The 26,880-nt window shown below is 39.3% G+C and overlaps 1 protein-coding gene and 1 long non-coding RNA gene across 11 annotated transcripts in view, besides 6 other annotated features; one reads left to right on the forward strand and one right to left on the reverse strand.

Moving 5' to 3' along the window:
• Positions 1–26,880, reverse strand: part of DCLK1 (doublecortin like kinase 1) — a 363,288-nt gene that overhangs the window by 70,975 nt on the left and 265,433 nt on the right. For 4 of the 9 annotated variants that reach the window (NM_001330072.2, NM_001330071.2, NM_004734.5 and 1 more), the window contains exon 6: positions 14,873–14,967. In NM_001330072.2, coding sequence (NP_001317001.1) covers positions 14,873–14,967 — 95 coding nt within the window. Of the gene's footprint in view, positions 1–6,273; positions 11,151–14,872; positions 14,968–15,883; positions 16,042–26,880 lie in introns of those variants that run through there. The other 5 variants (NM_001195416.2, NM_001195415.2, XM_047430767.1 and 2 more) reach the window with 3 other exon arrangements.
• Positions 15,369–16,242: an enhancer, noted in NCBI's record as "OCT4-NANOG-H3K27ac hESC enhancer chr13:36429132-36430005 (GRCh37/hg19 assembly coordinates)". NCBI's record gives its function as "activates a minimal SCP1, AML or CMV promoter by ChIP-STARR-seq in naive H9 embryonic stem cells {active_cell/tissue: H9 hESC(naive)}" and the evidence as "EXISTENCE:reporter gene assay evidence [ECO:0000049][PMID:30033119]".
• Positions 15,369–17,115: a biological region, named in NCBI's record as "P300/CBP strongly-dependent group 1 enhancer GRCh37_chr13:36429462-36430661".
• Positions 15,699–16,898: an enhancer, noted in NCBI's record as "P300/CBP strongly-dependent group 1 enhancer chr13:36429462-36430661 (GRCh37/hg19 assembly coordinates)". NCBI's record gives its function as "activates an origin of replication core promoter dependent on BRD2, BRD4, P300/CBP, MED14 and CDK7 cofactors, with strong dependence on P300/CBP, by STARR-seq in HCT116 cells {active_cell/tissue: HCT116}" and the evidence as "EXISTENCE:reporter gene assay evidence [ECO:0000049][PMID:35650434]".
• Positions 16,243–17,115: an enhancer, noted in NCBI's record as "OCT4-NANOG-H3K27ac hESC enhancer chr13:36430006-36430878 (GRCh37/hg19 assembly coordinates)". NCBI's record gives its function as "activates a minimal SCP1, AML or CMV promoter by ChIP-STARR-seq in naive and primed H9 embryonic stem cells {active_cell/tissue: H9 hESC(naive and primed)}" and the evidence as "EXISTENCE:reporter gene assay evidence [ECO:0000049][PMID:30033119]".
• Positions 17,850–18,389: an enhancer, noted in NCBI's record as "NANOG-H3K27ac-H3K4me1 hESC enhancer chr13:36431613-36432152 (GRCh37/hg19 assembly coordinates)". NCBI's record gives its function as "activates a minimal SCP1, AML or CMV promoter by ChIP-STARR-seq in naive H9 embryonic stem cells {active_cell/tissue: H9 hESC(naive)}" and the evidence as "EXISTENCE:reporter gene assay evidence [ECO:0000049][PMID:30033119]".
• The window catches only part of LOC105370163 (uncharacterized), a 45,346-nt gene continuing 36,904 nt past the window's right edge, over positions 18,439–26,880 (forward strand). For both annotated transcript variants that reach the window (XR_941855.3, XR_001749821.2), the window contains exon 1: positions 18,439–18,520. This is a non-coding gene — a long non-coding RNA (uncharacterized LOC105370163). The remainder of the gene's footprint in view (positions 18,521–26,880) is intronic.
• Positions 18,932–19,471: an enhancer, noted in NCBI's record as "H3K27ac hESC enhancer chr13:36432695-36433234 (GRCh37/hg19 assembly coordinates)". NCBI's record gives its function as "activates a minimal SCP1, AML or CMV promoter by ChIP-STARR-seq in primed H9 embryonic stem cells {active_cell/tissue: H9 hESC(primed)}" and the evidence as "EXISTENCE:reporter gene assay evidence [ECO:0000049][PMID:30033119]".

Consider the following 26,880-nt stretch of genomic DNA (forward strand, 5'->3'; position numbering starts at 1 on the left):
AAATTAAATGCTCCACCTTACCACAACTTTAGGAGAAAGGTTAAAGAGTGGGGTTGTCATTTCCATCTTGAGATCAAAACATAAGCACTGAGTAGGTTATTGGTTTGTTAAACGTTACATAATAAGTCTGAAGTAAAGACAACAATAAAAGCCTAGGCCTTGTAATTTTGTTTGATTTTTGACCCAAGATCCATGAAAGCAAACAGGGTAACAACTGTATGAGAGAGCTCAGAGGAAAAAACAGTACCAAATATTTAATATTATGATTGGCTATGGGGCAGTACTTTAACAATGAATGTTTCCATCTCTGCATCTATTTCCTGAGAAAACAATTTGCACATTTCAATGCTATTTCTAAATAGTGAACACAGCTTGTCCTAAAAGATCTTCCTTCTGTTTCCCTGGGTTTATCCACTTGGTTGGCCTGATGGGAGCAGGAGGCGGTGAGGGGGCGGGCGGCATTGGCTCATGGTGCCGGCTGTCTGTGGAGCAGAGAGAAGGGAAAGAGCATCTGTAGTTGAATTAATAATGAAGAGGTGGCGAGAAGCAAAGCTGACCTATTTTTCCTCTGCTTACCTGTTTCCCTTCAACCTCCTCCCCAACCCATTCAGCCTTAAAGTATGTACAAAGTAGGAGGAAAGAGGTTTGATGTAATTTCATTATGGTCTACAGTATCCTGCATAGGAGATTCAAAGATTTTAGTTTTCATTAAAAAGATTAATAGAGTTGGGGAAATGCTGCCTAAGTCACTGCAGAGCCATCTAAGTCAAACATCACAGAACGTTTTCCTGGGTGTGACTAAGATGAGCATGTCCCATTGGTCAGGTTCATCAAAGCTCACAGTTGACACCATTGGGATGAAAGTTAAAGTAATAGCAATAGTACACCTGCTTTTCTACAGAACAGGCTAAAAGTTGAGAGATGACCCTTGTATACCCCTGAATACTACACAGTTTGTGTAATGTGCCCATTATTTTCCAATACTATAAAAATCCCCCCTCAGTAAGCCTGGTGACTTGAGCTGTTTTTCTATCTTTTGTAACCAGCAGCACACATTTGTCATATGTCAGGCTACAAAAACGGATTGAGATTGTCACCTTGACACAGAGTTTTTCTTAGTGTGACACTATGTACCCATAACCCACACTGTGGAAGGGACTATAAATGTAGGAGCTTCTAAGCCACCCTCTGCTGACTTTTATGGATGGACATCTTTTTGTGAAAACCTTGTGTTTATAATATTGCAGTATGAGGCTGACACAAGGCAGATTTATTATGTCAATAACCGAAGAAAATAAACATAACCACATTTGAGGGGAAGGTGTGTGTTTTCCAGAACAGTGAGATCCTTCATCCTCTGGGTCATTGTTTTTGCTGCAGACATAATGGTGTTCCAAACAGAAAAGCACTAAGTAAATGTCTACAATGTAGACCTTCTCTTCTGGGCTTTCTGGACCTTGAATTTCTTCCAGCAGCAGCACAAATGGTATTTCATAATGGAGACACATGGTGTGGTTTAGGCTAGCAGGTGCTGCCTTGTCACGTGGCGTTTTAAATTTAGAATACAAAGACACATTCTTTCACCAAATTAATAGAGCAGTAGCATGTTTCCTAGCAAAGATGTTCACAATTTAGACACTCAGTCCCAAAAGCTTGTTCTTTTAGTAAGAACATCAGGTACTCGATACAGAGCTCTGACCCATAGTACATGAAAACATCTTTTAAACTGTAACATTCTATAAACTTGTGGGCTTTCACTCAACCGCCTTATCAACTAATGAATTGGATTTAACAGTGCCACCAAATGGCTGATCCCTGAATGCTTGTCACAATGCCAGCTGGGTTTTCTCTGCTTTCTGAACAAAAATCTCTCAAGGATTTTAGGCTCTGGTGGAAAAAAAAAAAGGAAAAAAAAGTAGGGTTAAGACAAGTTTGCTTATGTTTATAACTGCTTATTTTCAATGTTACAACTGTATTTTTGTGTTTCTGAAAATGTATCCCAAGTCATTTCAAATTTTCTGCTGCTTGAGAGTAACAGATGATGGGCAGTCAAGAGAAAAACGTACTTACGGTCATACAGAGTTCTCTGAAAATGGAAAGCTTTCATTTTATTTATTATGCTCAAAGACAGTAAAATAAATGTATTAAACTTCTAATAGTATTATCTCTTTTTTCCCAAAGAAGTAAGATAGTTAATACTAAATACTTTTCCAAGATGGTGACCATCCGCTGATTCAAAGAGTTTGGGGGACTGGGATGGACCTTAAATATTACCTATTCTGCCCCACTTCCATTCAGAGACCAAATGCCCCCTACAGAAATCCCAGTGGGTGGTCAGATGGCCTCTGTCCAAATACTTCTAGTACTGAACATACTACTTCCTGAGGCAGCCCTTCATCATTAATGGGAGGCAAAATAAAGGAAGTTCTCCTGCTAAAAATACAAAAAAAAAATTAGCCAGGCATGGTGGCGGGTGTCTGTAGTCCCAGCTAATCGGGAGGCTGAGGCAGGAGAATGGCGTGAATCCAGGAGGCGGAGCTTGCAGTGAGCCGAGATCGCGCCACTGCACTCCAGCCTGGGCGACTGAGTGAGACTCCATCTCAAAAAAAAAAAAAAAAAAAAAAAAAAAGAAGTTCTTCTGTAAGTTATGTTGAAATTATGTCCCTCCATGTTTGCCATTTATTGGTCCTATCTCTGATTTCTAGAGTTGCCCAGTACAGGTCTAATCCACTTTTCACATGACAGTGCTTTTAGGTGTTTGAAAATAGCTACTGGTCTCCGTCTGTGTCTTCCAAGCACTTTGGGAGGCTGAGGCAGGAGGCTTGCTTGAGCCCACAAATTCAAGACCACCCTGGGCAACATAGTGAAACCCTGTCTCTCCAAAAACAAAAAAAAAACCTGGTGCTTGAAAGTGAATGCAATATTCTGGGTGTGCTCTGACTAGCACAAAGCAGAGAAGGATAGGGTTTTCTTTCTCATGAATAGAATATTAATTCACTTCAAGATCTTACTGGCTTATGTGGATGAGGCCATAGCATTTCACCTTTACAATGAGCCCACAGCTATGTCATGTCTCCCTGGTGTGTGTTTGAAAGGTTGTCCTGGGCCAAGTCCAGGACTTCACACTTCCTCACGTTAAATGTCATCTTTATTACATTAATATCCTTCCAGTCTGTTATCTTTTAGATTCTGATCTGGTCTCCTAATGTTTTTGCTCTGTCTACCAGTTGAAGCCATTTCAGTAATCAGGATGGCTCTTTGGGTAATCCACCAATTCTTCACTAAACCACCTAAATAGACTAACTTAGACCCTGCTGGAACATTTCTATTATTATCCTTAAGTCCAACGAAAGGATTTCGAACATAGTAAAGGCAAAATGTGTAAGTGCTTGCTCTTTAGAATTAACTTAATGAGATTAACCAGCCTTTGTTTACAACCAACGGATGCTGAAAAGCCCACCTATATTTTTTCATTGCTTGTAAATGGAATCAATTTACCTTTTTGGTTTTTCTGAGCAGATAAACCATTTTATAGTCCACATGCCAACAAGATTTTATGTTTGCTTCAATTCGCTAATTCCAAGGCATCTGGGTGTACAGTACAAAACGTACAGTTATTTTAGAATTTAGGGCAATTAGCTGCTCTGAGAGATATTGTGACATTTGAAATGTTATCACCCCCAAGCAGATTTAATGGGAACCATTTGGGCAGGTTGCTGGCACCTGGATGCTTTTATGGCACACCTTCATAAAAGCACTGCCCTAAGTAAGAACACATCCTAAGTGTAGCTATTGAGCTTGGGATCATATAACAGATGGAGAACATATCACACTTTTTGAAGTAAGTGAGAAAGCTGACATAACAACCCTAACCACATTTTATCAAGATGTATCTGATGACTGTGTAGTGGAAAAGAGTTCACTTTAAATGGTGTGAGTTACTCTTGCCATTTGTATTAATGTTGTCACTCAGCTGGGGTCCATGCTGCATAAAGGTTTTGAAAATATCCAATTAAGAGAATTGATCTAATCAAGGTAGAAAAATCTCACCACACAACTTTAGCTTTGGCTGGATAATTGCACCATTTCCACTTCACATTTTATCTTGGCATACAATTATTACCTTACTGAGTTGATATTGATTTGAAAAATGGTTAAAAATAATTTAGAAATCAAGTTATCACTGTCATATGATTTCTGAATCAATCTTATAAAGGAAACACAAGCAATACATTTTTAACAAACTCAAACAGTTGTCTTGGTGATCTTGACTTTAGATCCACAGAAGCTCTAAAGATAATCTCTAACAAAATTAAATAATAATCTTGGTGTAGAGAGCTTGAAACCCACAGAATTCTATATGATACAGAAAAGCCAGACATTTATTTATTTCCCAACTGGGTATAGAACAATAAGTTGAAGGCATCACTCTGCAATTACTAATAAGGCTCCACTATTTGAAACAAGGCACAAAGGAACTGCTTTTTCCAAATTCCTTTGTCTGCAATCTTCATAGTAGTACATTCAGCCTAAATAAAGTTTATGGCACAGATAAGCATGAGCATAAGTAAGAATGAATACTGAAAAATGTAAAATGTTATCATAAAGATTTGGATAATTTTTTCAAAAGACTAGAAAACTGTTACTCATGAAGTTGGTTTACTGAAAGGAGGAGAAAACGCGAATGGAAACAGTGGTGTTATGGCTATGTTAGTGAAACCACGAGAGCCAAGATTTCAAAGACAAATGCACTTAGTTACAACTAGATCTGTACTGTTTGTTGTATTGGGTAGTTTTTCTGGCCTCAATTGTCCAATCACTATACTCATGCAAGCCAAGATCTATAAATTGATAATCTGAACCATTTGTCCCAAGGAGACTTGTGTCATTGGGTAGTCACAAGCCTCCTCTCATGAGTTACACCCTTCATGAAATCGTAGTTTGGAAGCAGCCCAGGAAGTCATCCACTGTATTTCCTCTGGATAGAATAATTCCCTCCATGATTTACTCCTCAAATGGGATTCCCAACCTGTAATGAAGGGAGCTCACTAGTCTTCTAGGCACCTGCTACATTTTATGTTAAACTCTGGTTATATTAAGAAACTGCAACTACAATTTGAAATTTTTATAAATTTGGAAACATTCCTTCCAATGATTATTGCTATGGACTTGGATTATATTTTGCTGTGATCATTGCTGTGGACATTTATCATGGAAATAATAAAGAGAACCAATTAAAGTTAATGTAATTCGAAGATTAAAGTAAAACTAGTAAAAATGTTAGATTTAAAACCAGAATTTGGAACTTAAATGGTAATTGCAATATAAAATATTTTTTCGTCTGGGTACAGTGGCTCACACCTATAATCCCAGCACTTTGGGAGGCTGAGGTGGGTGGATCACTTGAGGTCAGGAGTTCGAGAACAGCCTGGCCAACATGGCGAAACCCTGTCTCTACTAAAAATACAAAAATTAGCTGCATGAGGTGGTACACACCTGTAATTCTAGCTACTCAGGAGGCTGGGGCACAAGAACCGCTTGAACCCAGAAGGCGGAGGTTGCAGTGAGCCAAGATCGCACCACTGCACTCCAGCCTCGGCAACAGAGCAAGACTCTGTCTCAGAAAAATATGTATATATTTTTTCTAGCTTGGTCAGCAGAATTTCCTATCCTCTTTAACATCCTTTTCTATCCTTTTGGAAATGAAATATATTATGATTTTTGTTCTGAGTTAGAGTCAAGTATTTTATTATCATTATTTTAATTAACTTTATTTTTAAAACTATATATTTATCCAGTGATTTTAAAAGAAATAGCTTGTATAAATACACACACAGACATGCTCACATACACATGCACATTTTTTCCCCTGCAAATTAGATCACCTTGGGAAAAATGCCTTCAAGCCTAGGACACCATTAGTGGTTTTAAAACTGCATGTTAATTTCTTCTCCTCAATGAGTTATCGATATGTCTGACAAATTCCTCCTTTAAGGCAACCCTGAAAGGAAGGTAGAGTCCTGATTTTAACGCAACTACCTGAAACAGAATTTTTCATCAAATAATCTTATTTTGTTATTACTGTCAGCATTTTATACTTTAGACGTTATGTGGTACCATTCTGCAGTCTCTCAAATATCACTCATTGATGCTAATTACAACAGAAGAATGCCATACACGTGATTGTGAAGGTCACCCTTATCCCACATGTGGTCATTTCAATTTCAGTGTCTACTTATCAAATTTTCTGAAAGAAACTCACTGAACAACATAGGCAGTTTTTCCTGTTTATTATATAGTTATTCTAAGGTGGTAAGTGTCACAAAGTTAACTTCAAGAGGAATAACATGGTCCAGTGTGAAACACAAGGTACAACATTTTACAATGAAACCACAGCACAAAGTAACTGAACTTTCAAAATTGGGTAGTTCAATGAAACATTTTGTCAACCCTTAGCTCTATAAAGCTCTGCTGATGGACTTAGTTGATGGATTTAAAAAATATATTGCTGTGTCAAATGTTTTAACACAAAATGTTTTTTTTTAAAGAGAATACACATCCAATCAACTGAAACTGTGAGCAGAAAGTATGTAACCTCTTTATAAAAACGTTATCCAAATTTACAACATTCATAATATATTTCAAAGTAAAGAGTTCTTAGAAAAAATAAACTCAATTCCTTGCTTACTGATGAGTATCAACTCCTCAAAAACACATCACAGAAAGTTAACTTTCATACTTCTTTGCCTATAACTTTTAGATATCTACTACCCTGGCTTCAAAAACATTTTGTGGCCATATATAATACAAACACTCAGGTATTACATGCATCATTTATACTATCTTGGAATTTATCCATAATCTACTAAAATGAACCACATTTTAAAGACATCATATGTCATGCACCCTTAAAAATTATAGTGAGGGCCTCTGATTTCCTCTTTTTTCCACATGCATAACAGGCACAAAATTACAAATATTTTTCAACTGACAGTACAACACGCTATATCAGGCAATTGGTATATTGAATTCAGTGTATCTCTATTTTTCACACTATGCCTCTGTGCAATATTTCAATCAAAGACAGTTGTCACTAACATGCACAAATAGAGATGCTAGCAAGGTTAATGCAAATATGCATAAATGAGCAAATGTATGCATATATAGTAAATTCATTCGATTAACATTTTCAAGTGTGTATATATTTATGTAGATATATACACACATACAGCAAGTATATTCAAAATTTGTCAACAGTTTAGAGTTTTGAAAGAACATACAGAATCGCCTTACAGGTTATCTGGCTTTGTTATTAAACTTACTTCATATCAAATATACTCTGGATTTTCTTCTATTTATGTTCCAACATTATACTTGACAATCTGCAACTGTATCAATGTTTCATTTTTTTAGAGTATAGTGATTGGCAACCACTACAAGCCATCCATACACACACAATAGAAAAAAATCATAGTATTCGATCTTGTTAATAATTGAAAACAAAGATATATCAATATAAACATTAATGTTACTTATATTTAATAGTTAACACAATATTGGATTTAGCTGAATTTCAATTTTTTTATAAATCAGTATATCTGAATATTTTGAACCATTTGCCATACCAGTTGAGCAAACTGCTTTTTAATTTAAACATGCCCCAACTAATATGTCACAGAGTAACACTTTATTACATGAAGATTTTATGTATAATTCCACAAGAGCCAGTAACTTATAAGGCTGTATCACAAATACTATACTTTACTGTTGATGGTTTATACACATACACAGATACTTACAGAAGCATACCCACATACACACCAAGCCTGGCAAATTTACATAAACACCCAAACACCTGTATAGATATATGGCCACATATGAAAAATTTAGCAGTCCAAGAATTAAAATATGTGGAATTTTCAGGAATATTATTCTATATATTCATTCACTTTCATTAAGAAATCTGACTTGCACACTTCATTGTTTTTAAGCAAAAAAAAGAAAGAAAGAAAGAAAGAAAGAAAGAAAGAAAAAGAGCCCAATCATGTATAGATCTTCAGGGCATGTGTTGGAAATTCCCCGGCTGGTTATGTAGGGTATATATATATATAGTACATCAGCGCTGGTTCAAATGGTTTTAGAAAATGTTTTTTGGGTTCTTAATATTTAGATGAGCCAATATATGCGCACAGGGATGTATACAGATGAGAGAACCTGACACTTCTTAAAATTCTATGGCAGTACAGAAACTGTCTAGATTTTTCCCCCTGCCTAGTTGATTAAACAAGACAAAAACACACCATGTGGCTTTCAGCACTATAGTCTTTTGAGTTCACACTGAACTTCATACTTTATATATTTTTAACTTTTGCACTTCTAAAATGCTGAAAGCAGGGAAATATTCCTAATATCTTTTTCTACAATGTCTACATCTAAGAAAAAAGTGAGTGCAAGTGAAAAAGTATCGAACTTTGAACTACAGCACGATGTCTTCAGAGCGCATTTAAGGATTATCATTAGGACAAAACTGCGTGGCTTTTGCTGAAGCATTCCCCGCTCAGTAGAACAATTTAAAAATTCATTGCCGAATTTTTTTTATAAAGAATTCTATAAGTAACTCAATCATAAGTGCCTATAAATCACCAATTCTGTTCCACCAATGAACTGAAAACTTCTGTGTTTGTTGCTAAGAAATTTTTATTTCTGCTTTAGTTTAATAGAATTATGTTTTGCATAAAAAGAGATCTCAAAGACTATAAATGGTGTGCTGTTTCAATCTCTGAGGGACTTTACTTTCAAAAAGTAAATGATATATATAGCCCCTGAACAGTCCTTTAATAGAAGTCATATGTTCAAGAGATTAAATGCTGTGGAAAGCACTTCCCTTGGAACTGCTTGAATGGAAAGTTGGCCATGATATCTATCGGCAATTAGTACAAGTCCAGTTTCTTTTTGCCCTGTCTAAACAAAGCCATGGGCTCTATATCAATTGGCAATATCTACCACTTAGAACAAATAGCATTTATTGGACCTTTCTAGCAGTAGTTGTCCATAAGATTGACAGTGCAGGGAAGTTAAAATTATTGGAATTTATTTTTGTTCTGGACCATCTGACCCCACCAGTTTTAAAGTAACTGTTCCACTGCTTTCTTTGTATTTTTGGCAGTTTAGTCAAATACATACTAATCTTTTATGGACCCAACTGTATTAAGTAATGCATTTTACAAAGACATAACTAAAACAGACACCAGCATAGGCAACCTCACAGATGTTTACTGTTTCAGCTAAAATAAAGCAGCCTTTTGATCTCAGCAGGAGTCTCTGGTCATTTCTATTGGAAACAGTTTTAAAACCTGAAGTCTGGAACAGGTATTATTATGAACTGTTCTTTCAAGATGGAATGTTTCAGTTTGCAGCTCTTGAATAACCTGCCAGAGAAGTGTCTTTCTCTCCAACAGACAGCATAATGAGGCACTAATTATTATAGGGCTAAGTTTTCAAATGCTGTTAGATTGCCTGGACGTTTTTTCTTCTTCCTCTTCTTTTGGTTGGAATATTTTATTCACTTGTAAAGTGAGATGGTAACATACGTAACTATAAACCAGATGGTAAAATTTGCTAGTTGAACAATTTATCAGGGAGATAAATCAATAACATTTAAAACAGCGTGTGACAACTGAATTTCTCTCCATCTTGAATAAAACATTTAAAAATTGTTTTCAAGTAAAATTTGAAAAAAAAAATCATGTAAAAGCCTCCAAATGGCATCAAACATTTTTAATTTATCACCTACTGAGATATGTCAAGCCTGGAGAATATCAAAACCATGCTTCACAAGTCTTAAACTGTTAGTGTTTGAACTAGTAAAAGTAAATGACCACTAGGATATGGCTTAAATACAATAGACCATACACATTAAATTAATTTTTAACATTCAGACTTTAAAATCATTATTTTATGTTTAAGCAAAGACGACTATAATTTTTAAAATAGAGGACTAGAAGAGCAGAATTAGTAGGTTAATGTTTAACAATGGGTTATAATCATAGACTTAATTGGTTTAACACAAAAGGAGTTTTGCATATGAAAATTTCCAAAACACCAGCAAGATTGAGAATTTTTCAGAGTGGAGATTTGGATACTCTGGGCCTGATTTATACAGCACCATTTAAGTGAATTTTGCTTTTCAAATGGATTTCTTGGAAAAAGTCCAGACACAATTTTTTTTAGGTCTGTATGGAAAAAAAAAAAATTCCCAGCTTTAGTTTTTACACATTTAAAAAATTATGTATATGATTGTAAGAAAAAATTATACAATCTATAGCAATGCCATTGGCCAAGTTCTTCATATTGGCATATAGCTTAAGCTAAATTTATACTGTTTCTAATAAAATAACTTTAAAAAATAAAATTTACTTGACAACAAAAACAAGGCAAGTTCCTAAAGCCTAACTTCAGAGTCTTTATGAGATGTGTCGTTGTCATAATTTTTCTTTTTCTCTCGGATGTACTAACCCACAAAACAGTAAGTAGCTTTTTCTACTGTCTAGGGAGAAAAAAAATCTACCCAAGTATTTTTATTATTTTGTAATAAAAGTACCTCTAAAAACCAAGCAATTCAAATTTTAAAAACAATATAACCTTTAGAAAAAATATGCCTGCTAGTGCCGTTTTAATATGCTTTACAGAAAGTACAGAAAAATTATATCTCTATGTCTACTTATAATTAAGAAGAAAACTCCATCTGCAGAAATTCTGGCTCTATATTGCCACATGGTTAGTGTGTTCTTGTACTCAATATTGGGTCCGTGTATGAAATTCATCTAGAGCCAGGCCCTGTACAAAAATCTCAGCATTTTGTGTTCAAACTCTCCCCAATCAAATCCATGTGGGAGATATTTTTAAAAATCTCTCAATTTCAAGGTTGAACATCACGAAAACAAAATGCATACATATTTACTTTTGGATGATTTGGTCTTTTATCATTTCAAGGTATGCAAAACTCTTTTGTGTATTTTGCTGTAAGACTTTTGCTTCAGAAATGTGAAACCTTCACCCAATCACAAACCATATACATTGCTCCATTGTTTCTTTTACACTGAGTCTCCTACTGAATCCAAGTCATCCGAAGAGAGGGGGCGGTACAGGTCCTGCAAGATGAAGGGCAGTATAGATTTGTTTACTCGGCTTTCTTGGGTGCCCTGTGGCTCTCGTGAGAGCAGCACTGAATGGGCATCCCCAGTTTCTACTATTATTAGACCTTTTCAAGTCACCAACTTGGATTAGGAGGAAAGATAATAATAGAGAAACCATCTAAATAAACAAAATGGTGCTGGTTTCGCCTTATTGGCAAGAAAATGCCTCTTGGTCTACTCATAATCTTTTGCCTTCCTTGATGCCCGTTGAGTTGCATGGCCCCTGAGGTCTGTAAAGGTCAACTCCACTACTATGTGACTAGGCAATTCTTCCTTGACCATTTCCTTCCCATTCTTGGTAGAAAAGGAACGTGCTTACCTCACAATAAAATAATTTATCAGGAGGCCCAAATGGCGTTCAGCAAATTCTGGTCCCAGAGCAGCAACTCAAATGTTGTAGTTGCATGTGGCATAAAACCCAAGAAAGCATTGCTTTCTCAAAATATTATGTTTGGATGACAGAAAGCGTGTAAAATTAACCCACCTCACCCCAAATCCCTTCCCAATGTTCTTTCCCTGTTCTCCAACCGACCACTCACTCATCACCTCCTCTCTCCTTTCCTACCTCCCCTTCCTGCTACTAGATCTCGGTTGGTAGCCAGGCAACCAGCTCAGATCTGCAGAGAGCGTCTAGAGTTGGCTTTTCTCCGGTTTTGTACCACCCACTCCTCACATCATCTGACTGATCAGATAATCTACAAAAGTCAGTGATGTGGGAGTATAATGGGGAGCTTCATTCAGCCTACATAACACAACACATTTCTTCCTGATGGATTAAGAAATGGGACCAAAAAAAGTTCATGAGTGGGAAAAGAGTCTCCAGGCTCTGCTTCTGTGACCAGTCAAATGCCTGTAGACAGCAACTTAAATAACTCTGCTTCGGAAAAATAGGTTACTTGGTACATTGCCACGAATATGCTTATGAAGAGAAATGTCTGGCATGCAGGTTTTCATTGTATAAGAGTATTCCAAAATGTCAAAAGAGGTAACATAAAAATGTGATTTTAACAGAAGAAAGAAAGCTGATCAAATTTTGTAATTAATATAAGTAAAAACTAGATTTTCCTATTTGTAAAGAAACCAGTCAAATGTCTCAACCTTCCTTTTGAGAAAACAGCTCATGTTCCTGTATTTTAAAATGGGGGCAAGGCGCGCGTGTGTGCATGTGTGTGTATGTGTGTGTGTGTGTGTGTGTGTGTGTGTGTTGGGGTGGGGGCAGTCAACTCATTTTCTTGGCCATGTTGCTAGGCAACACAGAAGGAAAAAATAGAAGTAGCTACTGTTTTCCAATCTGCAGTAAAAAGAGTTAATTTATTCTTTGAAGTGTCTTCTTTTAGCACATGCCATCTTTCACTTATTTCAGTATTTCCTGCATAGGAGTATAGCCAATCATTTGAGAAGACCATTAACCAAATTTGAAACAGGATCAGTTTTTAGGGATCTTCTAGGCCCATTTTAACTGGGAGGGATTATTTGATGCAGTTGCCTATATGCCAAGATGAAAGCTCCTCTGGCTAAAGCATCTGGGAATGCCTTCATGCACTGACACAGCACATGGATGGGGAGGTTCATTTATGGCCTAAATTCAAAAGCTTGGAAATGGAACCATCTTAGAATATACCCAGTGCCCTGCCTCACAACATGTGCTCAATAAATGTTTTCAGATGGTATAAACCCTTTGTCCTCCTAAAACAAATGGGATTGTTTTTTTCTCTCAAGTATGGTGTTTGCACTGATCGTTTAAATGGTAAAATGAAGAATCTATAAGAAAGCCATATCTTATAATCATTCCCCAAGTGCTGGAAATGTTAATTATATAAGCCAATAGCCACAGAGCTGAATGGAAATTTTCTGCCTCAGTTGGACAAAATCATACTGAAGTGGAAATACAGAAAGCAGAAGAAGCGAATTCTAGCCCCATTCTGCCAAGAAAGGGACATCTGAGCACAGCTTTACATCCCTAAGCTGGAGGTCTCCTCAATAAATAAGCAAGGAGAGGAGCTCCCATTTGCAGCGGGAATTCCCAATCACTCTTAATGTCAACAACTAAGCATAAACGACACCAATAAATCTTTAATCTGAGTTTAATTAGCTCAAAGAATAAAGACAGATTTCTATGCTAGGTGTACTCTCCAAAGCATACACTCTAAGAGACAGAATGTTCTCAGAAAGAGGGCCCTTCCTGCTCTGTATCCAATGGCGGTCCCTATAGATTGACGCCTCACTGGGTGATGTTCACAAGAAAAGAATGACCGACCAGCTCTTCCTTCACTCAAGGACAGGCCTTTAGGAGAGTAAATAAATTTGGCCAATTCTTGGAGTTGTTCACAAATGATTCCAACACCTTAAAATTCCAAATTAGACTGTGGCCAAGAAGAAACCATAGTGAAAACACTCAAATGGAGGTAGAATGGAATTATTGGGCTTTCTATCTGGAAAGAGGCTCCTTGTTTTGTTTTGTGTTTCCAATGGAGACCCAGAAAAGATAATAGGCTTATCTAAGATACCACGGCCATTTAGTGGACAAGCTGGCGTCAAATCCCAGGCTTCATCAAACGCTCAAAACAAGTTCCACCTGATGCCAGGTGAATCAGTGAAGAAAGATAACCAAACTTGATATTTGGTGCAACAGGCTCCAAAGGAGATGGGAACCAACTGAATCTCCCCGCCCCGCACTCTTAGACGTCTGGCAGCCTAAAGACACAACCTGTGCAGAAATCTTGAAGAGAGGGCCTTCCATCCTGGATGACACGTAATTTTGTGGAACTCAGAAGTTTTGTTTTAAAACACATAATAAAAGAAACTAAACTCAAGAATCTTGTGTTTGAGTGCAGTAGACTGCAAGGAGTTCTCGCTTATTAAAGTGTTCAGTGAGCACCATCATGAAACCTCCTAGGAGCGTACATTCCCCCCACCTTGCGTCTGAAATCAGGACCATAAAGGGCCTTCCGTTTTTGGCATTGTACCTCCCCCTTTGCCCCCTTCCCACTACTTTTATTTTTGCCTTGGTATTACTGGAAAAGACAAACAGTACAGGTTGTGACAGGATAAGAACAGTAGTCTCTCCATCCTGAAAGAAGCACTAACCCTCACCCTCTTCCTTAGGGTGGAGAAGCTAACAGTTTCCAGTAACTTTTTCACTGTGGTCTCCAAGCTCAGCCAAATTCTCCATAAATGCAAGTAGTGATGAAAAGGTGCTCAATGTGGGTTTCATCCACAAAAGCACGTGTCATAGGTTCCCATCCCCTACCTCATGGACCCTCTGCTGCTCTGGGGCCCCATCCATACCATAAGCAATTTTCCACCAGGGCCCTCCCCTCCATTCACAGCACTTCTTCTTTCCCTTAATGGTGATATCTAATCAAACTCATCACAACTAAGAAGGCTTACAAACTAGTGCTAATAAAGCCTGTGCATTCAGAACAGAAAGAGGAGAGTATGTAAAAGTGAAGTAGCAAAGGTGCATTCTTCTCAGAGTTAAGATTTGGACAAGGTTACAGAGAAGCTAAAAGCCCTGAGTTCTAGCTAAACCAAAGCAATAAGCAACCCCTCATTGGTCACCTCCTGTTCTAGCTTAGATATCGCCTAGAGACGAGCAGCACGATTTGCTGGCACCTGTACCTGTCTGCACCAAGGCTGAGACAGGTCTGAAACAAGCAGCTTGCTTATTTCCTTACCCTCTGCTTCCGCAGGCTTCCTGGGCTGGTGGGTGATGGGCTTGGCGACTTGCCTGAGCGCGGAGTAGAGAGCTGACTACCAGGGGTTCCATTAACTAGAAATACAAAGAATCACACACAGAGAAAAATGGCACGTTAAATAATTTTCATGACAAATCATCTTCTGCAAGAAATAAACAATTATATAGAGAGCCATCTACTAGAACTCTAGACACCCTTCCATATGTACACTGAGGAACAGCTTTGGGGAAGTAACCTTCAGAGAGTCACAGTTTTGTAAATCCTGTGTTTCATAGAGCAGCAGGTTACAGAATTATTTTTTAAGATGTACCTTTCACAACTTTCCTGATGAATGTATTAATGATGTCTTTAACTGTGCCAGCAGGGACTTTAGGAATGTATGGTCCTGAGACATTTTCAATGAGATTAATCCTTAACTCTTCAGTTTAGCTACCTAGTACTACCCAGCAGGAATAAATATAAGCACAGATCACCAGTGACATTCCAGTGACCTGATAAATAGATCACTGTATTTGTATAATTAATAACTCACTTCTAGAAAAATGTCCTGCATCCACCTGTGTCTTGTCCATCCCCCTAGGCTGATTGTGATGGACCTGCCTTGAACAGGACAGTCATTGGCCACAGACGCTGAGAAACTCCTCACAGTTTCTCTTTGCTGCCTTTGAAAAGAAAAACTGCTAACAAGTTCAAATCACTGGAATTCTACCCAGTTCTCAAGAGTTTTATGCACATTTTCACTAAACTGAACTAAAGCCACAGAACTCAAGTAAGCCATTCTTTTCTCTAAGTAACATCATCTCTAACAACAGATGAAACACTTAAAGACATGGTTTTATAAAGATGTATCAGGTCACCTCTATTTTACCTGTAAAAATGGCATTACAGCCCCACAGTCAGTGAAGTAGAATTAACCAGGAGACACATAGATTCTTGAGGGTGCAAAATAAATGCTTTCCACAAGGGAGAGCAGCAATGCATTTCACTTACCTTCTATGAGTTCTAACATGGACACAGTCTTAGTGTTGGACCTGAATACCAACGGCGGAATCCCGTCTCAGCACTAAGCCAAGCACCCGCGGAAATGGGAATCGGTTGGATGAGTTTAAGGATGGCTAAGGCTGCTCCCAGAGCAGGCTGAATGAGATGCAGGATTCATCAGCAGATGCCTTTTCTGCGTAAAGCTGACGTCTCCCAAGCAGCAGTGGGAGGTGCAGGTTCTGTCTTAGGCTACATCAAAGGTGTCAATTAAGCCTCTTGCCAACAGCAACCCCCATCCCGACACCACTCCCTTCCGGAAGCCCCAGTGCTGTCAGTACTTTGCACTGAATCATAATGAAGTGGCCCTGGGGGCAAGAGATCCAGTGACTCATCTGAAAATCGAAATGACAATAACTCTTCTAAAGCCTGGTGACTACCAGGTAATCAGGAAACCCTCACACAATTCAGTGGCAAGGTAGGATGTTTATTGATTTTTCGCACTTGATGTTTTCCCAAAAACTTACAACCCTGGAAAGTGGGAAGCTCCTTGTTTTGTCATCTCCTCCAAAGACCTTAAAAAATGTCACATACCCCATGCTGCATTAATTTGTAGTTTTGCTTTTGAAATGTATTTGGCAACTCCTAAAAATAGAAACCTAAAAAGCTATGAATTTTTGTTTGTTTGTTTGCAGAGAGAGTGAACTGGAAAGCTGAGAATGCTTTAATTTGCTTGCATGCCACCATCCTGTCTTTGCTGAGTGAACTTCACGCTCGGACCTCATCACATTAGACTTCCTCAGCCAGTAGCCTCTAAGGAAGGGGCTCAGAAATAGAAAAGGATTAAAGACAAGGGCAGAAGCAGAGCCTATAACTAGTAAGAAAGGGATGCCTTACTGGTTGGCTGGAGAACACATTTTGTGAATATAATATTTTCTTTACCCACCCGCATTCTACTGCACATCTTTATGTCATACGTAAAGGCTACATAGATTGGAGGGAAAAAATGAGCAAATAGGGAAGCAAACACAGTGTTAACACTTTTCACTTTGAGACTCTGATCTTATCCAGCTAATGGAAAATGAAGAAAAAGAGACAAAGGGCTCACAAGAAAACAGTCTCAGGAATACCTTGCTTTAAAAAGCAAAACAAAACAATAAAAGCCTGTAAGTATTTAGTAAGTATCCATTGTATGTGTATTTTTAAGGCATTTTTTGAAAGACATTTATTTTTATTGAAGGCATTTTTATGCACCAGTCAATGCACTTAGACCTTTTATATATGAACATATATGCATCTGTGTGCATCAGTATGTATATATATTACATCATTTAACTCACAGAATAACTCTATAAGATTGGCAGCATCATTTCCACCCATTTTACAGGTGAGGAAATTGAGGCTTACAGATGATGAGTCATTTCACAAGCAAATATGGAGCAGAGCCTAAAATCTAACCTAGGCAGTTCAAAACCTGCAGTCTTACTACTACCTTGCCTTACTGTGCCAGCCCTTTAACCTACAGGTAAACCAGAGAACTAAGCTAGAATTACAATAAAGTATTTTGAGAGGGGAAGTGAGGCAGGATAGTTAGTCAAGGAAGTGACCATGTTCTCGGGATGCAGCATTGGTGGTGACCTCACAGCCAACACAATAAGCCTTGGCATTCACATCATAAATGAGCTCATTTAAGCAAAGCTATCTTCAGGAGGGACTGTCCCTTCTCTAGGGCATGTGCATTTTGATTTTAATTGTCATCAAACTGACCCTTTGCTCATTTATAGTAAAAAACACACCCCTGGGTGGAGATTTAAGATGCTAATGAGACATGTGATATATGAACACAAACATACAGCTACAGTGCATGTGCACCCAGAGGACCACCCAGAACATGCTTACTAGCAACACCTCTTCCCAACTCCTTATGAATTATCATGTAAGACTCCCACAAAGGGGGTTTCTCTAGCAATAATCAACACTGCCTCACCCTTGCAAGCAGCCCACCCTGAACTCTCTCTCTCAGGGTATACTGTCTATTCTGCATCTAACTTTCAAAATACTCTTTTCCTTTTGCAGTGAATGACTCTCTGCCGCATCTCCTTTGCTGTGTGTCTTTTGTTTAAATTCTTTTAAACTAAGAAGACAAGAACCGAGGTATCACAACAGCCATTAACAGAAGTATTGGGTGTTGCAATTGGAATCCTAATAACCAACAGTGAGAGTTGGCCTACGCCCTTCACAGAGGGCAGTGGATACAGAAGTTAGCCTGGTGAAGCAAGGGGGGCACAATGAAGGAAAAGTGTCCTCAGCCCAGGGATCTCCTGTTTCAGGGCTGGATACGAGAAAGGAGGCCAGTGTGGTACACTGAAGAGACTTAAATAACTAAGTAAAGCAAGTATGTGGGGTTGGAGGCGGAGGAATGTCAGGAATGAGATGGAGGCAGGGGCCGCATAGTGAGTAGTGCTTTAAAATTCATGTTAGGGAGTTTGGTTTTTATCCAAAGGGCAATGAGAAGAAAAACAAAAACAAAAACAAAGATTTTAAGCAGGCGCCACAGGATCAGGCTTGCATTTGAAAATGCTCTCCAGCTCTTGCCCTGTCAAGAATGGATTAGAGGGAAACAATACTGGGTGCAAGGAGAATGTCAAGGTAGGAGAGAGTGGGGCACATTTAAGGGTCCTATGGTAGAGATGCTGACGTGGCTGATCTAGGGTAGTGTCATGGGGTGGAGGTAAACGGAAACGTTCCAGAGAAATGTAAGAGGTAAAAACTATAGAACCTGGTAATTGATTGGCTGTAGAAGATTAAGGCCAAAAGGGAGCATGTTTGCAAGGACAGAGAGTTTGGACACTTTGAACGGAAGCACCTTAGGTAACATCAGTTCTGCCATGTAAGTTGGTGCAATGTTTTCTGTTTTAGATGAAGAAACATGTTTAGTCAGGTAACTTGTCCAAAGACAAACAGCTGGAAGATGGCAGAGTTAAAGCTGGATTTCATTTAGGTCTTACTCAAAAAACTTTGCACTTTTCCCATGAGTGGCTGGTCCTGGCACCTCAGGGCATGTCCAGAACCCTCCTAGCATCTGCAGGGCTGAGGATGCCTAGGCTTCTCTCTCTACCACCGGGACACTCGGATCTGCCTCCTTTAGGCAAGGTTATTGCAATGGTAATTGTGGTTTTTGCCATTAAAAGTAAAGCAAAAACTGCAATTACTTTTGCACCAACCTAATAAAACCACTGGGCTCAGTGCTTCTATTTGCATCGCCATCTCTAGAAAAATGAAACTCAAGTGCCAGACAAGTCATTTACAATCAAATGCTTTTGGAACACAACTTGTCTGAACATTGGGAACAGCATGTACTCTTAGGGTCAGAGCTCTGTTCAGACTCTTCCTCTTGGCCATACAGAAGAGCATTAGCAACTTCTTAAAATGGTTCTTGACATCCAGAAAGCATTACACACCTTCTTGTTGAATCACTGCTGGGATAAATAATTTTCTTTCATAAATAAGTTTGACACATGTACTGAGTACACTTGGTTTTTACTCTGTAATGCCAGAAGTTTCTAAGTGCCATAACAAGGCTTTGTGACTTATTTAATAGAACTTATTAAAATTCAACTTAAAATGGCATTATTTTTTCAGAGGCCCTTATTACACAATTCTTTATCTTGAATGGGAACAATTAAACTAACACGGTTGTTGTTAAACAGCCAAGCAGGGCTGAACAATTAATTATTTCAATCTGAATCCACTAAACTCTGAATTAGTAAAGAACTCATTAGAACCGCTGCCTTTACCCAGTTCTGGTCTCCTTTGCTTTTATCTGTATAGGTACATTTTCTTATTTTAAAAAATAGGAAATGTCATCCTTTGCTGTGCTTGTTACCCTTGAATGAGAAGTGCTCAACTTCAAAATGGATCATTCACTGATACCATGATGACCAATTAACATCACTGGCCACCAAAGAGCTGTGGAAGAAATCTCACTGCAGAGCTGACTTCTATCCCTCCCGACGGTACATGACCCTCCTTTATTTCGACTCAGCTGTCACCTAAGCCTGTCAGGGATCCAACAGCATATACCGGTCACAGCGCATTGTTGAATAATACTCCTCAGGAAGTGTGCAGATCCACCTTTTCCTTCATCATTTCAGACAGGTGAACCAACTCTTCTTCACTAACTGGAGCCACGAGTCCAGGGCCCTAGATATCAACCTATCAGCACACGTAGTGTACACTTAGTACATGCTAGATTCTTATTGCTCCCTGTCCCCAAGATGCTTATGATTAAACATCAAAGTTACTTTAAAAAATCTAGAATTTGGAAATACTTGGCTTAATTTACAAATTCATTGCCCTTTTAAATGACTTTCCACGCATATGTAGGTTAACACTTCTTTTTGCAGTCGCGTTCCTAAAAGTCTCAGACACCAAGTGAAAGCTGAATGTTAGTAAGTGTCTCAAATTGGTTCTGAAGTTAGAGAAATCTCCAAGCGAGACTATCTAATTAAAAGATGTGCAACTTTTTGGACGTGAAATCCACCTTACTGTTTCCCTGTCTTCTTTTAGCACTTAAGGAGGCTCATTTATTTCTGGTGCTGCACTTGTCAAGATTTGGGGAGAGAATGTGTTTGCATATATGTGTGTGTCCTTGGGTTTGGGGGTGGCGATTCAGGCACGCTGCCAGGGAGATCTGGCTTCCTGCCTTAGACTCTCCTTTACTCCCTAATCATGGTGTAGGCTGTTCATTCCCTAAAATCTCTTTCTCAGCTTTTGTTCCTTGCTTGCCACATTATTGAGAAGGAAAAAAAATGCAGGGGGTGGGGGGTGCATAGGGAATCAGTTGAGACCAAGAGAAAAGAGACAACTACCTAACAGAGGGAAGAAGACGTACTTTTTCCCTAATTTTAGCTTCTTGGGTGCTCACCTCATAGGTGAGGTGGAGCTCTGATTTTCTCCATGTCTGTTTCCTCTTCTTGAACTGAGACAATGGGTCCAATTCAAAGAAACCATCTACTGAGAATAATGGGAAGGAGGGGCCCCAGGAACAGAGGAGAGGGAGACAGGGACACAGCTCTGTGAATTAATTTTTTAAATAAATACTTACAAAGGCTCCAAACCTCAGGAAATTTAGGCAACAGCTCCTAGTGTTTCTCAATTCATTCATGTGGTCAACATTTACCCAGTAGTTACCATGAACTCACAGTCACTGTAGAATGCACAAAGAACCCCTGCTCTCAGACTTTACAACTGAGCAAGGTGGTGCAACGTGTCATCTGTGAATCAGCTGCTGCAGTACTGCAGGGCTGGGGAAGACCCTGGACAGCGAGGTGATCCGGGAAAGTGGCAGAGGTCTGCAGGGCCAAATTGGGTGAGTGGGCTTTAGACAGCTGAAGAGACAGAGGAAGACATTCTAGCTAGGCCAAGTGAGAGGAATAAAGGGATGAGGTGGAAAAGCCCAAGCTGGGGACAATTTAAATTTGTTTCTAGGATGGAGCATGGGTCCAGAGAAGAAATGGGGGACATGAGTGGAAAGGAAGATGTCCTTCACTTGAGAACAAGTTCAGACTTTATTTGGCACACAACAGGTGATGGCAGCAGGTTGGACATTGGTGCCCAGGGCAGATGTAAGATAAAGTGGGAGGACACCAGCCAGCAATGGCATCACCATAGGGAGAATGGTGACCCACTGAGTGTGGACAGGGTGGAGAGAAAAGAGTTGGTGATGATTTGGGGTACAAGAAAAAAAATTTAATTAAACAATAAAAAAAGACCAACTAGAGTCCTGTGATGTAAAATTAGGAAATTTTTGGATCTGATCCCTATCAGCTGGGATCCAAGAACAGGCTATGGTCATGATAGGGGAATTGGGGACCACAAGCACCAAGGGTCAGGGTGGATGAGGGTCCTGGGGTTGATCCCTACCAACCAATCGCTGCAGGACAGCTCCCGCTAGAGTAAAGCCTGGAGCCAGCCTGGGAAAGGACCCACGGTGACCACCAAAAATCACACTCCCAGACCAGGTCCCCCTGCCATCTGGTATTGCCCATTCCTTCATAGGCCACAGTGGTGTCCTCACTGCTGAATCCTACGATCCCCATTCAGTTCTCATGCTACCTGACATCTCAACATCAAGCATTTCTGCCCCGTCCTTCATCTCAAAACTTTCTGCCCCTTTGACTTCTGTCCCTGTACTCTTACTGTTCTTCCCTGCTTCTGCTGATTGCTCTTAGAAATGCAGACTTCTGGCCAGGCACAGTGGCTCACGCCTGAAATCCCAGCACTTTGGGAGGCCGAGGCAGGTAGATCACGAGGTCAGAAGATCGAGACCACCCTGGATAACATAGTGAAACCCCGTCTCTACTAAAAAAAAAAAATACAAAAAATTAGCCAGGCGTGGTGGCGGGCACCTGTAGTCCCAGCTACTCGAAGGCTGAGGCGGGAGAATGGCATGAACCCAGGAGGCGGAGCTAGCAGTGAGCGGAGATTGCGCCCACCGCACTCCAGCCTGGGTGACAGAGCGAGACTCCGTCTCAAAAAAAAAAAAAAAAAAAAAAAAGAAATGCAGACTTCCCTCCCCCATGCATGGTTCCATTTTCATCTTTACAAATCTCTTGTTGAGGCAGCGGGGAGGTACCTTATGTTTCTATTATTCAAATCACTACAATATACCAGGGTCTCCCAAATATATATTGTTAGCGCAGATCTCCTGACTTAGAACAGTTATTTATTTCCAATTGCTTACAGACATTTCCAAATCGCCTCACACTCCACATGTCTAAAACGAAACTCATTCCTTACCTCTCCTCATCCAACAAACCTGCTTCCTATCTCTGATCCCTCTCTCTTCTTCTAGCCTCACATCCAGTTAAATTTCTGGTTTCATTTCCCTTTGAGGTCTCCCCCAGCTCTTTCGGTTCTGTCTTGACAATTTCATTCCAGGATGACTACAATGGCCTCATAGAGCCTTCCTGGCCCTTGGCCTTTCATGTGTAGCAATTTTTTCCACCGCCATGCCACTGTTTCCAAAACTCAACTGCGATCTTTCATGGCACTGTGAAAAATCCCCTTTCACTTCATAATACCTACAATCTACAGCACAAACATACTTCCACGACCCTGTGCAATTTGACCACAACCAACGGGGCTACCACCATCTTTCCAACTCTTTCTTAGAATTCTATCCTGCATTTTTATTGAACAAGCAACTATTCCCTAACTATGCCATATAGTTTAATGTCTTTGTGCCTTAGCTCACACTGGGAGGGAATGTCCTCCTGGCCCTTTTTTACATCCAAATTTATAAATCCTTTTCTCTTGGAAGAGCTTTCTGACCCTATTAATGAGATCTAACCTGTTTCCTCTAGGTCATCACAGCACTTATTACACTATTATAGTTACATGCATACAGTCAAGTACCACAAAACAATGTTTTGGTCAACAAGGGACCATATATCCGATGGTGGTCCCACAAGATTACAATTCTGTATTTTCACTGCACCTTTTCTATGTTTACACCTGTTGAGATGTGCAAATGCTTATCATTGCTTACAATTGCTAGGATATTCAGTACAATAACATACTGTATAGGTTTATAGCCTAGGAGCAATAGGCCATACCACATAGCCATGTGTGTAGCAGGCTATACCATCTAGGTTTGTGTATGTACACTCTAGGATGTTCACACAATGGCAAAATTGCCTAATAACACATTTCTTGGAACACATCCCCATCATCAAGCAACACATGGCTGTATATGTTTCTCTCCCTACTATAATATAAGCAACTTGAAGGCAAGGACTGTGGTTTAATCATCTTTGCACCCTTGGGACCTAATGCATGTCTGGAACACAGTAGATACTCAGGAAATATTTAATTAACCTGGGGCATTAACTGTGAGAAATTTATACAAGCAGTTGATGTAGGTTGCTGCCCCCAAGTAGACAGTAAGTCAAGATAATGGTTAAAGGCTTTGAAGAGTATCTTTGGAGGTTCTGCTGGGGTGAACACTAGGAAGAATTGGTGGGTGCAGAGAAAGGAGAAATGGAAGGAGGGATGAGCCTTACATGCAGCCAGAAATTCCAAAGACACAAGGGATGAATCACCAACCTCTCGATTTTCTTGATGCATTTTGTTCTCAACAATTTCCTTGGAGCTCCAAAGCAAAAAAGATTCTCCATAGACTGTATAAGGCTGAATTCTCTACACTAAAGGAAAAGACTGAACTCAAAATTAATAGCTGGCAATCTGCCTTTGAAGGTGTTTGATATAAATCAAAAGAATTTGACAAACTGGACTAGTAGTGAGCTGATTAGAATTCTCTTCACTTCCTCAGCTTTGATTCTTATCTGCATATGTTGCATAAAATATTTTTATAGAACTGTAAAAAAGTAAAATTTAAATAGCATGAATAAAAAGACTTCAGGATTTCTGGAGTAACATAGAAGTAAGTTTTAAGGCTGGGTGTTCAGAATGGTGCTTCGTCATGGTAGATGCTCATTAACTGAGCCATTTGGGTTTTCCTTCTTTCAAATGTTTGCCCTTGCATCTCCAGCACCCAACGTTGCCGGTCCACTATAGATTCTCAATGCATACTGAATGAATGAATGGTTGTTGCCATGAATGTTTCTACTCTATAAGCTTCTGAAGGGCAGGAAAGTACATTATCTCATATTGGAATTGAAAGGTGTGAGGCACTCATTGGGCCTCAGTTATGTCTGCTAAGGGTTCCACAGACAGAGATTCTAAATACAGGGTATCATTCTATGATAAAAAGTTGGCTATCTGGCCGGGCGCGGTGGCTCACGCCTGTAATCCCAGCACTTTGGGAGGCCGAGGCGGGCGGATCACGAGGTCAGGAGATCGAGACCATCCCGGCTAAAACGGTGAAACCCCGTCTCTACTAAAAATACAAAAAATTAGCCGGGCGTAGTGGCGGGCGCCTGTAGTCCCAGCTACTTGGGAGGCTGAGGCAGGAGAATGGCGTGAACCCGGGAGGCGGAGCTTGCAGTGAGCCGAGATCCCGCCACTGCACTCCAGCCTGGGCGACAGAGCGAGACTCCGTCTCAAAAAAAAAAAAAAAAAAAAAAAAAAGTTGGCTATCTAAATGGAAATAAAAACTGTAAAACAAACAAAAAAACTCCATTTTTCTTCTCTCTTTTTTTTTTTTTTTTGGAATGGGGTCTCACTCTGGCATCCAAGCTGGAGTGCAGTGGTGTGATCATGGCTGACTTTAGCCTCAAACTCCTAGGCTCAAGACTTCATGTCACCTCAGCCTCCCAAGTAGCTGGGACCACAGGTGTGCACCATTACACCCAGCTAGTTTTTAAATTTCTTGTAGACACAGGTCTTGGTATGTTGCCTAGGTTGGTCTCAAACTCCTGAGCTCAACCAGTCCTCCTGCCTAGGCCTCCCAAAGTGTTGGGATTAAAGGTATAAGCCACCATGCCTGGCCCCAGAGCTTTCCCAAATCCAAGAAAAGATCAAAATTTTGAAGTTTGTAAGTTTTAAGGAGGACTGCAGCTGTGAAACTTCAAGATAAACACAGTTTTCTTGTAAGATTAAGAAAACAATATAAAGCCAACTGAAATTTTATCAGTCTTTATTAAAACCAAAGTGATGCATATTTTATTCCTATTTTTAGAGTTATTTTATTATAATTTCCCTGTGTAGATAAAAAAAATTGCTTAAAAGAATTTTACTTTTGCCACTGCACTCCAACTTGGGTGACAGAGTGAGACCCTGTCTCAAAAATAAAATTAATGAATTTTACTTTTAACTTATACATTTTACTAGATCTGTGTTCCAAATATATACACATGTATGAAGAATCAAACCCATATGAAACTCCTTATTCCTTATGATGCTCTTACAGATTCTCATTTCTTTAAGAAGCAGCTAGAAGTCATTTTCCAATTTCTTAGTGATTCATCCTCCAGTGTCTCAGCACGCAATTTGTCTGGAGGCTCTTTACTCTTTTCATGTGTTATTAAGGCTTCTGGTTTCTCTTTGCTAGCTCTGTTTGCCTTCTTTCAGCCTTTTCTGTTATGGAGACTAATCATAATTCAACAGGTATGTGAATCATGTTATCTGTGAGGCCTTGACTCCTATGCTTCTTGAGAATAGGGGCTTTCTTTCATCTCTGCATCATTAGTGCCTAGCAAATGCCTGACACTAGTTGGTCTGTAACTGATAGTTCTGAAAGTGTAAATGAACACCTAACATTAATAAATCACTTTGAACCTCTTTTAGTGCTATGAAGAGAAATGGGTAAGGGACAAAGGGAAGACTTACAGAGGATTCCCATTCTTGTTCTAATGCTGACTTACAAGGGAGGTTTCTGTCCAGCAATACTATACATCAGGAAGTTGGGGTAAATCATTCACCTCCTGGAACGCTGGTGCCAAGGGACTAATACTTAGGCTTATGTTGCAAGGTGCTGTGATGCTGTGAATTGCAATCTCAAATTAGGCACTAGATTAATTGTTTCCTGGAGATCAAAACTCTAGTAAGTGGAGGTGAAGAAATAGGTATCAAGGACTGCCAGCCTTGTGTGTCTAGAGTACCAGAAGTCCCCGGTGCCAGCCCCGAGTTGCCATTCTGAACTCTGGGACTCAGAGCAAAGCAGTTATCCCAGCCCTGCCTCTGTGTCCTTATTTCTACAAACAGAGATAATAATAACTTGCCTTACTTGCCTGCTGTTAGGAAATTAATAGGAGGATCAAAAAAGATTGAAGAAATAAAAGCCGTATGTAAACTATAATGTTTCAGGTAAATATAAGTTAACCATGTTATATTCATAGCAGCATAGCCCGAAAATTGTGCAGATCTTAACTTTATAATACGCTCCAATTTCTGTATAATATAGGAAACTGAATACTGGAAGTAGAAATTTAAACACTGAAGTAGAAATCATTATAAACTTTGGGTTAATGTTTTGGGGGAAAACAAAGACTCTTTTTTTTTTTTTTTTTGAGACAGGGTCTCACTCAGTCATCCAGGCTGGAGTG

This window comes from Homo sapiens, chromosome 13, assembly GCF_000001405.40.
Source record: "Homo sapiens chromosome 13, GRCh38.p14 Primary Assembly".
NCBI classification, from domain to species: domain Eukaryota; kingdom Metazoa; phylum Chordata; class Mammalia; order Primates; family Hominidae; genus Homo; species Homo sapiens.